Genomic DNA, 15,879 nt, shown 5'->3' with positions numbered 1-15,879 from the left:
CGAACTCCTGACCTCAAGTGATCTGCCTACCTTGGCCTACCAATGCGCTGGGATTACAGGCGTGAACCACTGCACCTGGCCATGTTCTGTATCTTTTTTTTGTTTTTTCCTGAAATATAAGCCTTATTTTAAATTTAAAGAAATATTAAAAATAAACTTTTTTTACAAATTATAATCAAGCACTCAAAACAATTTAGGAATTTTAATCACTAATTCTTAATTCAAAATAATGACAACCATAGAATACATTCTGGTGTTTGCCAATATGAAGTTTACTTAATATTAGTATTTTACATATGACTAACCATTCGCCCTTCCTAAAATTTAATGATAGCAGTGATTTGACTTTACAAGATGAAGCCTTTTATGCAATACCCCAGAGATAACTTTTTCAAATACAAAAAATTTTTACCAGCAAGGAAATTATAAAAACATATATAAAGTATACTGAAGGACGTGATTTAAAGGCTGTTCTGTATACATAGATATGTTTTACCTTAGAAAGTACAGATGCACATCAAAACACTTTCACTGAATATAGATGCCACTACATTCTCTTACTTACGTTACGAAGCAAAAGGCAGGTTCATAAACGTTGTTCTATTGTGTATCAACTGAAAATAATGGATATTCCACACAAAGGCTTTGAAGACACATGGGAGTAGAATGTGCCTACATTTAGAGCAGAGCTTTTACAGGACCACCTGTCTCCAGCCGGCTCCCAGGGACCACTGAAAACAGCTGCTACCCTCAGAAAGACAAGATGGTCTTGTTAATGATTTCACTGGACTCTCGAATCTCATCCTCCTTGATCACCAGTGGAGGCGCAAACCTGACGATGTCACCATGGGTTGGCTTGGCCAGAAGTCCATTATCTCGAGTCTTAGAATCACCTTCCAAGCATCACGATCTTTGGTTTCTTTAATAACAATAGCGTTTAATACTTCTTTTCCTCACTGGGCATGGTGGCTCACACCTGTAATCCCAGCATTTTGGAAGGCCTAGGCAGGTGATCCATTGTTTTCTTAGTTGGACATGATCCTGGCATTTAGTGAGTACCTATTACTTAATCTAACATAACACAACTTTAATATTTCATCTCCATATGGTAAGAGCAAGAGAAAAAAACATTTCAAATTACATGAAAAGTTCACTTATAAACATGTATCTCACAGTTACCTCATTTATTCATTTTAACTATTATACCTAGATTACTTATGAAAACTGACATATTAAACAAAGCCAGTCGGCCGGGGTCGGTGGCTCACGCCTGTAATCCCAGCACTTAGGGAGGCCAAGAAGGGCAGATCACTTGAGGTCAGGAGTTCAAGACCAGCCTGGCCAACAAGGTGAAACCCCATCTCTACCAAAAATACAAAAATTATCCAGGCATGGGGGCGCACGCCTAGAGTCCCAGCTACTTGGGAGGCTGAGACAGGACAATCTCTTGAACCTGGGAGGCAGAGGCTGCAGCGAGCCGAGATAGCACCACTGCACTCCAGCCTGGGCGACAGAGGGAGACTCTGCTCTAAATAAATAAATAAATAAATAAATAAATAAATAAATAAAGCTAGTCATTTGGAGTTATTTTCCTATTAAAACATTTTTATAGCCTGTAAATGTCAGGTATCCACCTGAGCAAAAACCTTAAATATATGAGTATTTTGCCAATAACTCAGAAAATACAGCTGTTTTATTACACCCACAATATTAAATTAGTCTTACTTATCAAAGAATTGCACATAAAAGACCATTCTGTTTTTAGGTTAGGTTTATGTTTCATAACCTTAAAACATCCAACAGAGACAAATATAGAACCAGTAAACCCAGCCAAAAATGTGTGGTCACAATTTTGAAAACATTTCTCATTTTATTTTACCAACAATTTTAAAACCAGCTTATTTTTCAACTACTTAATTAAGTTGCATGAACTAAATGCGTTTTAGTTAATTACTGTGTATTTATATGAGTACCTAGTTAAGCCAATCTGAATAGGATTCTTTAAATAATTGTTTGCCAACGATTCCAGATTTTACCACGTAGACACATTTAACATAACACATGTACATACGTATGAATACGCCCAAACACAGATACGTACATAAACAAAGATAACTTTCATTTTAGAATTTTGATTATGGGACAGTAAAACATACAAACTCACCAATTTATAAAAGACGTTGGATCTAAATTATATTTCTGACAAAATGGAAGAAGGCTAAACTTTATTTAAGATTTTTCTCCTCAATAGGTAATCCTATGAAGGTGGTGACCCAAATTTTGGGTAAAGCAGTTTGAGTCAGTTACCAACATGTTGAATTAGACAAAGAATTGTTAACTGTAAAAATGTGACTGAATTATGTGAGAAGGCCCAAAAGATAAGTGGTATTCCAATAAGCTTTGTATAGTGTTCTCTTGGTCTCAATTCCTCATCCTTGAAGATAAGAGTGTTGTCTTCCCTTTTAGTATAGGAAGGAGATCTTTTACATGGGAATTTCATCTTTTGCTTTTAAGAAACACTACAAAGGTCAGTGATTTTATTTTATTTGTATCTGATGTCTTTCAACTGTCTTTATTTTAATAGTCAGTATGTCAGAGTAGCTGAGGAGTTTTGGAAAAAGAGTTTTGCTTAAAGAAGGATAAAGAGGAAGAGGTAAACAAAGGAGAGGGGAAGGCTTTGGAGAAGAAAATCTCAGCTAGCTTTAGACAGTATCTTGCAGTGAGGCAGCCTTTGAGTCTTGAATGTGTTCTGGAGCCTCAAGATACCAACTGAGATAGGAGTCCCATTTGGACTGTATTATTTTAGTTCAGTTTGAGGAAAACAGACTGCGTGAATGATCCCCATAATGTTGGCACATATTACCAGCTGGCGTCCCAGAAAGAGGGAACTATGTTGGCATGCCTTTGAACTTTGAGAGCCTGTGTGTAAATAAATTAATCTAGGTGATTCGGTTTAATGCCTAATACACAAAAGCCAAATTAAACTCTAAGCATGCAAACGATTCAGAAAATAAAGTACAAACTTACCAGGAAGCATGAGAAGCCTTCTCTAACAGAAAAATCTCTGTAACCAGGCCTCATAACCAGGAGGGAGAAAATCCCTCTTAAACAGGCCGTCTCTGGCTGGGTGTAGTGGCTCATGCCTGTAATCCCAGCACTTTGGGAGGCCGAGGCGGGCAGATCACTCGAGCTCAGGACTTCAAGACCAGCCTGGCTAACAGGGTGAAACCACATGTCTACTAAAAAACACAAAAATTATCCAGGCGTAGTGGCGCACACCTGTAATCCCAGTTACTCGGGAGGACGATGCACGAGAATCAGTTGAGCCTGGGAGGTGAAGGTTGCAGTGAGCCCAGATCACACCACTGCACTGCAGCCTGGGCGACAGAGCGAAACACTGTCTCAAAAAAAGAAGAAAAGAGAAAGACAAGATAAAAAAGACAAGACAAGAAAAGAAAGGAAAAGAAAAGAGGAGGTTTCATAACCAGGAGAGAGAGAAAGACCCTTCCTAACAAATTCCCAAATAAAACTGAACTCAACTCCTCAGCAAATGGCAGTTTGATCCAAGAAAGACTCACCAGGGGGGAAAGAGGCAACCAGAAAAGCAAAAGCTCAAGGGGACCAAGTGTGCAGACCTCACGCCATAGTTCCAGAGGTCATTGATATCTCCAAGGTGAGTCAGCTTCGGACCCCACTTCTGACACCACAAATATCAAAGTCAAAACCTATGGAGACGAGTCTCTTTTTTTAACTACAATATTAAGGATGTTATATTATGTTTTTGTTTTTGTTTTTTGTTTTGAGACCGGGTCTCACTCTGTCGCCCACCCCGGAGTGCAGTGGCACAATCTCGGCTCACTGCAACCTCTGCCTCCCCGACTCAGCCTCTGGAATAGCTGGGATTACAGGCATGCACCACCACATCCAGCTAATTTTTGTATTTTTTTGTGGTGACAGGGTTTCACCACGTTGTCCAGGCAGGTCACGAACCCCTGGGCTCAAGCGATCCACCGGCCTCAGCCTCCCACAGGGCTGGGATTACAGGGTGAGCCACCACGCCAGGCCATGAATCTCTAAACATTTTACTTGAGAATCACAGAATTGTGATGTGAGGCATACACCCAAACTGGCTGGTCTTTGGTATGTCCAAAGAACAAAGAGAAAGTTGAGAGTTTTATTAGAAACAGAAATGTTACCTATAGTTTTTAAAGCAAGTCCATTGGCACCAGAGAAGCTTTCAGGAGCTGGAAGCTCTGATTGGTGAGTGTGGACAATAGGTAAAACAAGCCTTAGAGTCATTGCAGGTTGTTTCAGCAGTTACTAGGTAAAAGTGCTCTTAGGGTGGCAGCAGGCCATTTCAGCCACCAGCCTTGTGGAAAATTCAATTCTTAGAGCAGGTGCAATGTGCCCTGAGTGCTTTTTCCCCTGGCCACACAACTCTGACATAGTTGTGTATGTCAAGAATGAGTCAATTCAGTGGGTTGCGGTGGAGCACGCCTGTAATCACAGCACTTTGGGAGGCCAAGGCGGACAGATGGCTTGAGGTCAGGAGTTTGAGACCAGCCTGGTCAACATGGCAAAACCCTGTCTCCGGTAAAAATACAAAATTAGTCGGGTGTGGTGGCACGTGGCTGTAGTCCCAGCTGCTCGGGAGGCTGAGGCGGGAGAATCGCTTCAACCCAGGAAGCTGAGGTTTCAGTGAGCCGAGATCACGCATGGCACTCCAGCCTGGGTGACACAGAGAGACTTCATCTCAAAAACAAAAAAAAAAACAAAAAAAAAAACAAAAAAACAAACAAAAAACAAAACAAAACAAACAAAAAAAACAACTAAGAGTGACTCACTTCACATAATCAACTTTCACAATGTTTAAAGCAGAGTCCTGTTTAGCAATGCACAAAAATTCTCCTTTGTGACCCATTCATTTTACTGCTGTTGGCTTTCTTGCTTTTGCTTTCAGACAGAGACACTCTCCTTTGACCAAACTTGAATCGGGCTCCTCTGAGTCCTGTTTCTGACTAGGTCCCAACCTCGGGCTCTGTCCTTCATCCAGGGACTCTGCCCATTTAGCCTGTTTCAGCAAAAATCCTGTCAAGTCAGTTTAGCCAGAATTCCCCTGCACCTGAGGTTTCCTCCAAGTAATTTCCCATCTTCTGACCCCCCGACCCTACTCCTTGACTACAAATCCCCACTTGTCCTTGTGGAGTTGAAGTCGATCCCAATATCACTCTCCCACCGCAAGACCCCATTACGGTGGTCCCTGTACCTATCACAGTAGTCCCCCCTCTGAGTAAAATCGTCCTTACGATCTTTTTTTTTTTTTTTTTTTTTTTTCAGAGACAAAGTCTCACTCTGTAACTCAGGCTGGAGTGCAGTGACCCAATCCTAGCTCACTGCAGCCTCAAACTCCAGGGCCCAAGCAATCTTCCTGCCCCAGCCTCCCGAATAGCTGGGACTACAGGTACGCACCACCAAATCCAACCATATATATATATATATATATACATATATTTTTTTTTTTTTTTAATTCTCTACAGACCCAGGAACTTGATATGCCCGTCTAATTTTTGAATTTTTTGTAGAGACGGCGTTTTGCCATGTTGCCCAGGCTGGTCTTGAACTCCCGGGCTCAATCAATCCTCTTGCCTCAGGCTCCCAAAGTGCTGGGATTACAGGCACGAGCCACTGCAGCTGGCCCTTCCTTACAGTCTCTAATAAGTGCAGTAAATACTTGTTTGCTTTAACATTTCCCTGTGTCTTCAATCTCCTGAAGTCATGTGGCTGACATTGTCTTTACTCCACCCGGTATAAAAATTCCTTTCTTTCGTCGGGTGCAGTGGCTTACGCCTGTAATCCCAGCGCTTTGGGAGGCCGAGGCAGGCAGATAACCTGAGGTCAGGAGTTCCAGACCAGCTTGGCCAACATGGCAAGACCCCATCTCTACTAAAAGTACAAAAATTAGCCGGGTGTGGTGGTGTGCGCCTGTAGCCCCAGCTACTCAGGAGGCTGAGGCAGGAGATTTGCTTGAACCCAGGAGGCAGAGGTTGCAGTGAGCTGAGATCATGCCACTGCACTCCAGCCTGGGTGAGAAAGCGAGACTCTGTCTCAAAAAAAAAATCATTTTTTTCAACAGCTTGGAGTTATTACACCATTGTATCCTTGCCTCCAGTGTGGTATTTGAGAGATCCGGTGTCAGTTTATTTTTCCTCCGTAAGTAACCTGCTATTTCTCTCTGATCGTTTTTAAAATATTTTTTCTTTGTCTTTCACAATTTTACATTTCACTTTTCCTGTGTGTATGTGTGTACTATAATACCTTTAAACCTTAAGTCATTTTTTTAAATCTGAGGAATTCTCATTGATTGCTTATTTAAGTACACTCTCCTTTTTAATAACTGTATTCTCTTCTTATAAGGCTACTATTAGATGTGTTTTGACATTTATTCTTCTATCCTCTCTATTAATTAACTTTTCTTTCATTTACTTCTTCTCTATCCATTACTGATTACTTTTATGAATTCTTTAGACGCATTTCCTCAGCTCAGTAATTGCTTTTTCAACTATATCGGTTTTAACATCCAATCTATTCCGCTGAATTATTTATTTGAGCAGTTAATGTTTTCATATCCAATCTATCCAATAGGTTTTCTATTTATTTATTTATTTATTTATTTATTTATTTATTTATTTATTTATCTGAGACAGAGTCTTCCTCTGTCGCCCAGGTTGGAGCACAGTGGCACGATCTTGGCTCACTGAACCTCTGCCTCCCGAGTCCAAGCAATTCTCCTGCCTCAGCCTCTTGAGTAGCTGGAACCACAGGCATGTGACACTGTGCCAGGCTAATTTTTGAATTTTTAGTAGAGATGGAGTTTCACCTTGTTGGCCAGACTGGTCTCGAACTCCTGAACTCAAGGGATCCACCTGTCTCGGCCTCCCAAAGTGCTGGGATTACAGGCTTGAGCCACTGTGCCTGGCCTTTTTTTTTTTTTCTTTTTCCAGAGTTTCACTCTTGTTTCCCAGGCTGGAGTGCAATGGTGTGATCTCACCTCAATGCAACCTCCACCTCCCAGGTTCAAGTGATTCTCCTGCCCCAGCCTCCTGAATAGCTCAGGTTACAGGCGTGCACCACCGCATTCTATCATTCATTAGCATCTGTATCCCTTCCTTGAACACCAAAAAAACTTATCTTTTCTTTCCTGTCCCTGCTCCCGTCTTCCAAGTTTATAATACTGGGAATTTTAGTTCAAGACTGTAATTTTAAAATTTTTCAATCTAAAGCTTACACTTTTCAATAAATTTTACTATTTTTCTGCTCGCCATTGCTTACTGAAATCACCTCCTTCCTCCTAAATTTAGTTTTCCCTTCTCACAGGACTGGATACCAATAATTATTTCTGAAGGGTATATGCGTCATGAATTTTCTGAAATATTTTTCCCCTCATTCTGGATTATTCTGGCTGTATATAGATATCTAGGTTCAACTTTTTTATTGTTTGTTCTTGTTTTGTTTTTTTGAGACAGTGCCTGGCTCTGTCACCCAGGCTGGAATGCAATGGCACAATCTCGGCTCACTGCAATCTCCACCTCCCGGACTCAAGCAATTCTCCTGCCTCAGCCTCCCAAGTAGCTGGGACTACAGGCATGTGGCACCACACCTGGTTACTTGTATTTTTTGTAGAAGTGGGTTTCGCCTTGTTGGCCAGGCTGGTCTCAAACTCCTGAGCTCAAGTGAGCATCTGGTCTTGGCGCCGAAAGTGCTGGGACTACAGGCATGAGCCACTGCGCCTGGCCCAAAGTTATTTTAAATCAGCTCCTTGAAAAACCTCTCCATTGCATTCTCTCTTCTCTTTTTCTCTCTGGGACCTTTCAGGATTTTATCTTTATCCTAGAAATTTTACCCCGAGGGGGTGTGTGTGTGTGTGCGCTCCTGCGTGCGCAGGTGTGTGTGCACATGTGTGTTAATCAGGCTCAGAACTAGGTGGCTCTTTTCAGGTTGAAGATTCATGTCTTTGTTCAACTGGGAAAATTCTAGAACATTATTTCTTCAAGTAGTGCCTTCTCTCCAGTCTTTTTTTTTTTTTTTTTTTTTTCATTTTTGAGATGGAGTTTTGCTCTGACACCGAGGTTGGAGTGCTGTGGCAGGACCTCAGCTCACTGCAACATCTGTTTCCCGGGTTCAAGTGATTCCCCTGCCTCAGCCTCCCAAGTAGCTGGGATTTCAGGCGCCCACCACCACACTGGGCTAATTTTTGTATTTTTAGTAGAGACAGGGTTTCACCATGTTGGACAGGCTGGTCTCGAACTCCTGACCTCATGTAATCTGCCTGCCTTGGCCTCCCAAAGTGTTGGAATAACAGGCGTGAGCCACCGCGCCCGTCCCAGTCTTTCTATTCTCTACCTCTGGATCTTCTACTGGATGAACGTTGAAAGTTCTTGGATCTCTTCTCCATTTCCTTTACTATTTTCCTTTCATAATTTCTATTCTGTAATTCTTTTCTGCTATACGATAAAGTAGTGCCATGCCTGAACACATTTTTTCATTTGGTTGTTCCAGTTTCTCTTATTGATATGGAAAAGCTTTGTTACATATTAGAGATGGTTACTGTTAATTTATTGGGGATGCTTCATTTTCCCCAAAATTTGCCTTTTTTTTTTTTTTTTTTTTTGAGACGGAGTCTCACTCTATTGCCCAGGATGGAGTGCAGTGGTGCAATCTCGGCTCACTGCAAGCTCCGCCTCCCAGGTTCACGCCATTCTCCTGCCGGGTTCATACCATTCTCCTGCCTCAGCCTCCCGAGCAGCTGGGACTACAGGCACCCACCACCACACCCGGCTAATTTTTTGTACTTTTAGTAGAGACAGGGTTTCACCGTGGTAGCCAGGATGGTCTCGATCTGCTGACCTCGTGATCTGCCCGCCTTGGCCTCCCAAAGTACTGAGATTACAGGCATGAGCCACTGTGCCTGGCCTAATATTTGCCTTTTTAAACAGTTTTTTTATGGTGTCTTTTGACTTAGATGATACTTTACTTTTTACATCTTTAAATATGTCAGATTCATTGTTTATAGCCTTGGTGTAATGTCAGGAAGTGCCTATGCCAACTCAAGATGTCTTACGCTGTAATATTTTCCTAAAATTTCATCTAGTTCTTTATGACTTCACGTTTTCACATTTAAGTCTCTGAATTTTTAGAATTTATTATTTTATGTGGTTGAAAGTAAGGATTTAATGTTTATTTTTCCAAATGGATAGACAACAATCCTTTATTATACAATCCTTTATTATACACCCCATCTTTTGCCCACTGTTTGGAAATGCATGCTGAAGTTTGTATATAAATTAGTCTGTTTCTTGACTTTTTATTTTGTTTCACTAATTAATCTATTTCTATGTGTATTCATTTTTGATTGCTGCTGTAACAAATTGTCAACAGCTAAGACAACACTGGGCCCCGTGTCTCACGCCTGTATTCCCAGCACTTTGGGAGGCTGAGAGGGGCAGATCGCTTGAGGTAAGGAGTTTGAGACCAGCCTGGCCAACATGGCGAAACCCTGTCTCTACTAAAAATACAAAAATTAGCCGGGTGTGGTGGCGTGCACCTGAAATCCCAGCTACTCGGGAAGCTGAGACAGGAGAACCGCTTGAACACAGTAGACAGAAGTTGCAGTGAGCCAAGATCACCCCACTGCCCTCCAGCTTGGGCGACAAAAGTGAGACTCCATCTCAAAAAATATTTATATAGCTAAGACAATTTTTGAAAAAGAAGAAGAATAAGGTGGGAGGAATTGCTCTACCATATTTCAATACTTCTTATATAGCTACAGGAATCAAGACTATATACCATTGGGAGAAAAATAGACACATAGATCGCTGTAACAAAATAGAAAACCTAGAAATAGCCCACACTGATTTTTTACCAAGAGACAAAAATAGGGAAAGATCATCTGCTTAACAAATGGTGCTGGGGCAGTTGCAGAGCCATAGGCCAAAAAAAAAAAAATAATAATAATAAGGCCTAGTCTTCATACCTTTATACAAAAAAGTAAGTCAAGTGGATCATAGATTTAAATCTAAAATATAAAACTAAAAAAGGCCGGGCACGGTGGCTCACGCCTGTAATCCCAGCACTTTGGGAGGCCGAGGTGGGCGGATCACGAGGTCAGGAGATCGAGACCATCCTGGCTAACACAGTGAAACCCTGTCTCTACTAAAAATACAAACAAGTTAGCTGGGCGTGGTGGCAGGCGCCTGTAGTCCCAGCTACTCGGGAGGCTGAGGCAGGAGAATGGGGTGAACCTGGGAGGTGGAGCTTGCAGTGAGCCGAGATCGTGCCACTGCACTCCATCCTGGGCAACAGAGCGAGACTGCATCTCAAAAAACAAACAAACAAACAAACAAACAAATGAACTAAAAACAAAGTTTTACAAGAAAATATAGGAGAAACGTCTGAGATCTAGGGCATAGTGAATGGTTCAAAAAGCATAATACATAAGAAAAAAATAAATTAGATTTTATCCAATTTAAAACTTTTGCTCTGCAAGAAATCTTGTTAAAAGGATGAAAAAATAGGGTACGATCTGAAAGAAAATGTTTGCAAACCACATATCCAAGAAAGGACTCACATCCAGAATATACAATGGATACGTATAGTACTCTCAAAACTCAACAGTAGGCTGAGCGTGGTGGCTCACGCTTGTAATCCCAGCACTTTGAAAGGTCGAGGTGGACGGAGGGCAGATCCCTTGAGGCCAGGAGTTCAAGACCAGCCTGGGCAACATGGCAAAAAACCCATCTCTACTAAAAATACAAAAATTAGACAAGCATGATGATGCATGCCTGTAATCCCAGCTACTCTGGAGGCTGAGGCACGAGAATCACTTGAACCTCGGAGGTGGAGGTCGGAGCGAGCCAAGATCGTGCCACTGCACTCCAGCCTGGGTAACAGAGCAAGACTCTGTCTCAAGAAAAAAAAAAATAATAAAAACCTCAATGGTAAAAAATACAAACAAATAATCCAATTAGAAAATCATGAAAAGATATGAACATACATTTCACTGAAGAGGAAATAAGCAAATAAGCACATGAAAAGATGTTCAACACTCATTTGCTTCACTAGATGCAGAATAACACCACGATGAGGTATCACTACACACTTATTACAATAGCTAAAATAAAAGACATAGTGACAACACCAAATGGTGACAAGGATGCAGAGAAACTGGACACCTCATTAAGTGCTGCTGGGAAGGTAAAATCTTACAGCCACTCTGGAAAGCAGTTTGGTAGTTTCTTATAAAACTAAACAATGCAGTGACCATACAATTCAACAATTACACTTCAGAGAAATTAAAATGTATGCCCATCCAGAAACTTGTACATAATTGTTCATAGCAGCTTTACTTGTAATAGCCAATAGCTGGAAATAATCAATATGTCCTAAAATAAGTGAATGGTCAAACTGTGGTATATCCATCCCCTGGAATGCTACTCAGCAATAAAAATGAACTATCGTCAGGGCACAGTGGCTCACCCTGTTATCACAGCACTTTGGGAGGTCGAGGCGGGTGGATGATGATGTCAGGAGTTCAAGACCAGCCTTGCCAGTATGTTGAAACCCCATCTTTACTACTGATACAAAAATTACCCGGGTGTGGTGGCGCGCACCTGTAGTCAGAGCTACTCGGGAGGCTGAGGCTGGAAAATTGCTTGAACCCGGGAGGCAGACAGTTGCAGTGAGCCGAGACACTGCACTCTAGCCTGGGTGACAGAGTGAGACTCTGTCTCAACAACAACAACAACAACAATGAACTATTGATACACAAATATCAATATCTTGGAGGAATCTCCATGGAATTACGCTGAGTGAAATAAGCCCGTAAAACGTTATATACTGTAAGATTTCACTTGTACAGCATTGTAGAAAAGACAAAATTGTGGAAACGAAAAACAGATTTGTGGTTGCCAGGGATTAGGGATGGCGGATGGGAGGAGAGTATTACTAAAAATGAGTAGCACAAGGGATAGCATTGCGGTGATGAAAATGTACTGTACATTTTTTTTTTCAAGAGGGATTCTCACTCTGTCTCCTAGGCTGTAGTGCAGTGGCACACTCTCGAGCTCACTGCAGCCTCTGCCTCCCGGGTTCGAGCTATTCTGTCTCAGCCTCCCATGTAGCTGGGACTACAGGCGGGTGCCACCATGCCTGGCTAATTTTTGTACTTTTAGTAGAGACGGGGTTTCTCCATGTTGGCCAGGCTGGTCTCAAACTCCTGACCTCAAGTGATCTGCCCACCTCGGCCTCCCAAAGTGCTGGGATTACAAGCGTGAACCACTGCACCCGGCCATGTTCTGTCTCTTTTTTTTTTTTTCTGAAATATAAGCTTTGTTTAAAATGTAAAGAAATATTAAAAATAAACTTTTTTTTACAAATTATAATCAAGCACTCAAAACAATTTAGGGATGTTAAACACTAATTCTTAATTCAAAATAATGACATCCATAGAATATATCCTGGTGTTGGTCAACATAAAGTTTACTTAATATTAGTAATTTATAGGCCAGGCTCAGTGGCTCACACCTGTAATCCCAACACTTTGGGAGGTCGAGGCGGGCGGATCACGAGGTCAGGAGATCGAGACCATCCTGGCTAACACGATGAAACCCCGTCTCTACTAAGAATACAAAAAATTAGCCAGGCGTTTTGGTGGGCACCTGTAGTCCCAGCCACTCGGGAGGCTGAGGCAGGAGAATGGCGTGAACCCAGGAGGCGGAGCTTGCAGTGAGCGGAGATCGAGCCACTGCACTCCAGCCTGGGCGACAGAGCGAGACTCCGTCTCAAAACAAAAACAAAAACAAAAAACAAAAGAAAACAAAAGAACTAGTATTTTTTATATGCTTAACCATTGATCCTTCCTAAAATTCAATGAAAACAATGATTTGACTTTATAAGGTGCAGCCTTTTATGTAATACGCTAGAGATACTTTTTCAAATACAAAACCTTTATACCAGCAAGGAAATTATAAAAGCATATATAAAGTATACTGAAGGATGTGATTTAAAGGCTGTCTGTATATACAGATGCATTTCACCTTATAAAGTACACGTGCACATCAAAACGCTTTCACTGAATATAGATGCCATTACATTCTCTTAACACTACAAAGCAAATGTCAGGTTCATGAACATTGTTCCATTGTGTATCAACTGAAAAAAACATATATACACAAAAAGATTTTGACGGCACATGGGAGTGGAATGTGCCTACATTTAGAGCAGAGCTTTTACAGGACCACCTGTCTCCAGCCGGCTCCCAGGGACCACTGAAAACAGCTGCTACCCTCAGAACGACAAGATGGTCTTGTTAATGATTTCACTGGACTCTCGAATCTCATCCTCCTTGATCACCAGCAGAGGTGAAACCTGATGATGTCACCATGGGTGGGCTTGGCCAGAAGTCCATAATCTCAAAGTCATAGACACACCTCCCAAGCATTACAGTCTATGGTTTCTTTAATAACAATAGCATTTAATAATTATTTTCCTCCCGGGCACAGTGGCTCACGCCTGTAATCCCAACACTTTGGGAGGCTGAGGCGGGTGGATCGCCTGAGGTCAGGAGTTCGAGACCAGCCTGGCCAACATGGCGAAACCCCGTCTCTACTAAAAATACAAAAATTAGCCGGGCATAGTGGCGCGTGCCTGTAATCCCAGCTACTCAGGAGGCTGAGGCAGGAGAATCGCTAGAACCCAGCAGGCAGAGGTTGCAGTGAGCCAAGATCGCGCCATTGCACTCCAACCTGGGCAACCAGAATGAACCTCTGACTCAAAATAATAGCAATAATAATAATTCTGTTCCTCTTATGGCAGTTACAACATCAAAAGGTAGCTTCATGGGTTCACTTCTCACGATAATACCCATTTTTTTTTCTGCATTTTCAGCAAGATTTTCTTGTTCTAAAACCTCAAGGGCTGCGATGGTCACTCAGCAGCCTAGTGGATTGCCACCGTATGTGGACCCATGTTCCCCTGGCTTAATGGTCAGCATTATGCCATCGTCCCACAGCACTGCAGACACAGAGTATCAACCTCCAGAAAGGGCCTTTCCAAGGAGGACTATATCAGGACTGACATTTTCATGATCAACAGCCAGCCATCTACCAGTTCTGGCCAATCCTATCTGTATTTCATCAACAATGAACAGAACCAAGCTGGGAGCATGAGATGGGACGAGGGCAAGTAAAAATACCACAAAGCTCACTGTTCTTACGGAGATTCAGCTGGTCTCTCTCTCGCTCTTTCTTTCTTTCTTTCTTTCTTTTTCAGTCTTGCTCTGTCGCCCAAGCTGGAGTGCAGTGGTGTGATCTCAGCTCAATGCAACCTCCACTTCCCGGGTTCAAATCATTGAGTGAGCCCAGGAGGTCAAGACCAACCTGGGAAACATAGCAAAAGGCAGGGTGGTGCATGCCTGTAGTCCCAAGGCCGAGGCGGGAGAATCACTTGAGTCCCAGAGGTAGAGCCCAGCCTGGACAACATAGCGAAACTGTCTCTAATAGAAAAATTAAAAATATTAGTGGGGGCGGGGTGGTGTGAGCCCATAGTCCCGAGGCCGAGGCGGGAGGATTGCTTGAGCCTAGGAGGTCGAGGCCAGCCTGGCCAACATAGCGAAACCCCATTTCTGCTAACAACAAGAACAACAGAAAAATAGCGTGGGCGGGGTGGCTCACTCCTGTAGTTTTGAGGCCAAGGTGGGAGCATTGCTTGAGCCCAGGAGTTTGATACCAGCCTGGCCAACAAAGCGAAAGCCTGCCTCTCCTAAAAAATAAATAAATAAATAAATAAATAAAAATGAGCGGGGTAGAATGGCACACGCCTATAGTTCTGAGGCCGAGGTGGAAGCATCATCTGAGCCTGAGAGGTTGAGGCCAGCCTGGGCAACATATCGAAACCCGGTTTCCACTAAAACGAAACAAAACAAAACAAAAAATAGCTTGGGCAGGGTGGTGCATGGCTGTAGTCCTGAGATGGGAGGATCCCTTGAGTCCAGGAGCTTGATGCCGGCCTGGCCAACATAGGGAAACACGGTTTCTACTAAAAAAAAAAAAAAAAAAAAAAGCGTGGGCAGGGTGGTGCATGCCTGTCGTCTCGAGGCCATGGCGGAAGGATCCCTTGAGCCCAGGACGATGAGACCAGCCTGGCCAACATAGCAAAACCTGGTTTCTACTTAAAAAAAAAAAAAAAAAAAAGCGTGGGCTGGGTGGTGAATGCCTGTAGTCCCGAGGCCGAGGTGGGAGGATCGCTTGAGCCCACGACGTCAAGACCAGCCTGGCCAACACAGCGAAACCTTCTCTATTAAAAAATCAAAAAATAAAAAATATTAGTGGGGGTAGGGTGGTTCGCGCCTGTAGTCCCAAGACGGAGGCTGGAGGATTGGCCAAGGCAGATGTAACCAATACCACAATCACATCCCATAAGTAAATACATTTTCCTCTCTTCAGGGCTACAGGTAAAGGATGGTAATTGTGCGCACCATACTTAAGATTCCCTTTCAAAAATGTAAGCAGAGGTTGCGGGGCCTTGGACTGTTTTTTCAGTGGCAACAGACATAGAAGCCACTGAAGAATGAAAGCCACGACTAAGTATAGCAAACCTCCGCAAATGTGCTAGTTTGGAAAACATCGTGTCTTTCAAGTAGAAAAATCACAGATTGACTATTTTTTTCTTCCCACAGTTCAGACTAGAATCCAGATTTTTAACCCAAGATCCAGGAACGGTCTTCAGAGAGTTCAAAATCTGACGGCGCCTGAGGACCACCCACTTTTTCGCAGTGGCAACAAAGTGTGGCTGGAGGAGGAGACATTATTCTGCTATGTCACTGCC

General features: G+C 42.6%; 1 pseudogene; it reads right to left on the bottom strand.

Annotated features, from left to right (window-relative positions):
• Positions 12,372 to 14,207, bottom strand: LOC791098 (ornithine aminotransferase pseudogene; annotated as a pseudogene).

The sequence above is a fragment of the Homo sapiens genome, chromosome X (assembly GCF_000001405.40).
Source record: "Homo sapiens chromosome X, GRCh38.p14 Primary Assembly".
Lineage (NCBI taxonomy): Eukaryota > Metazoa > Chordata > Mammalia > Primates > Hominidae > Homo > Homo sapiens.
The sequence above is the reverse complement of the archived record's forward strand: the minus strand, read 5'-3'. Positions and strand labels throughout refer to the sequence as shown.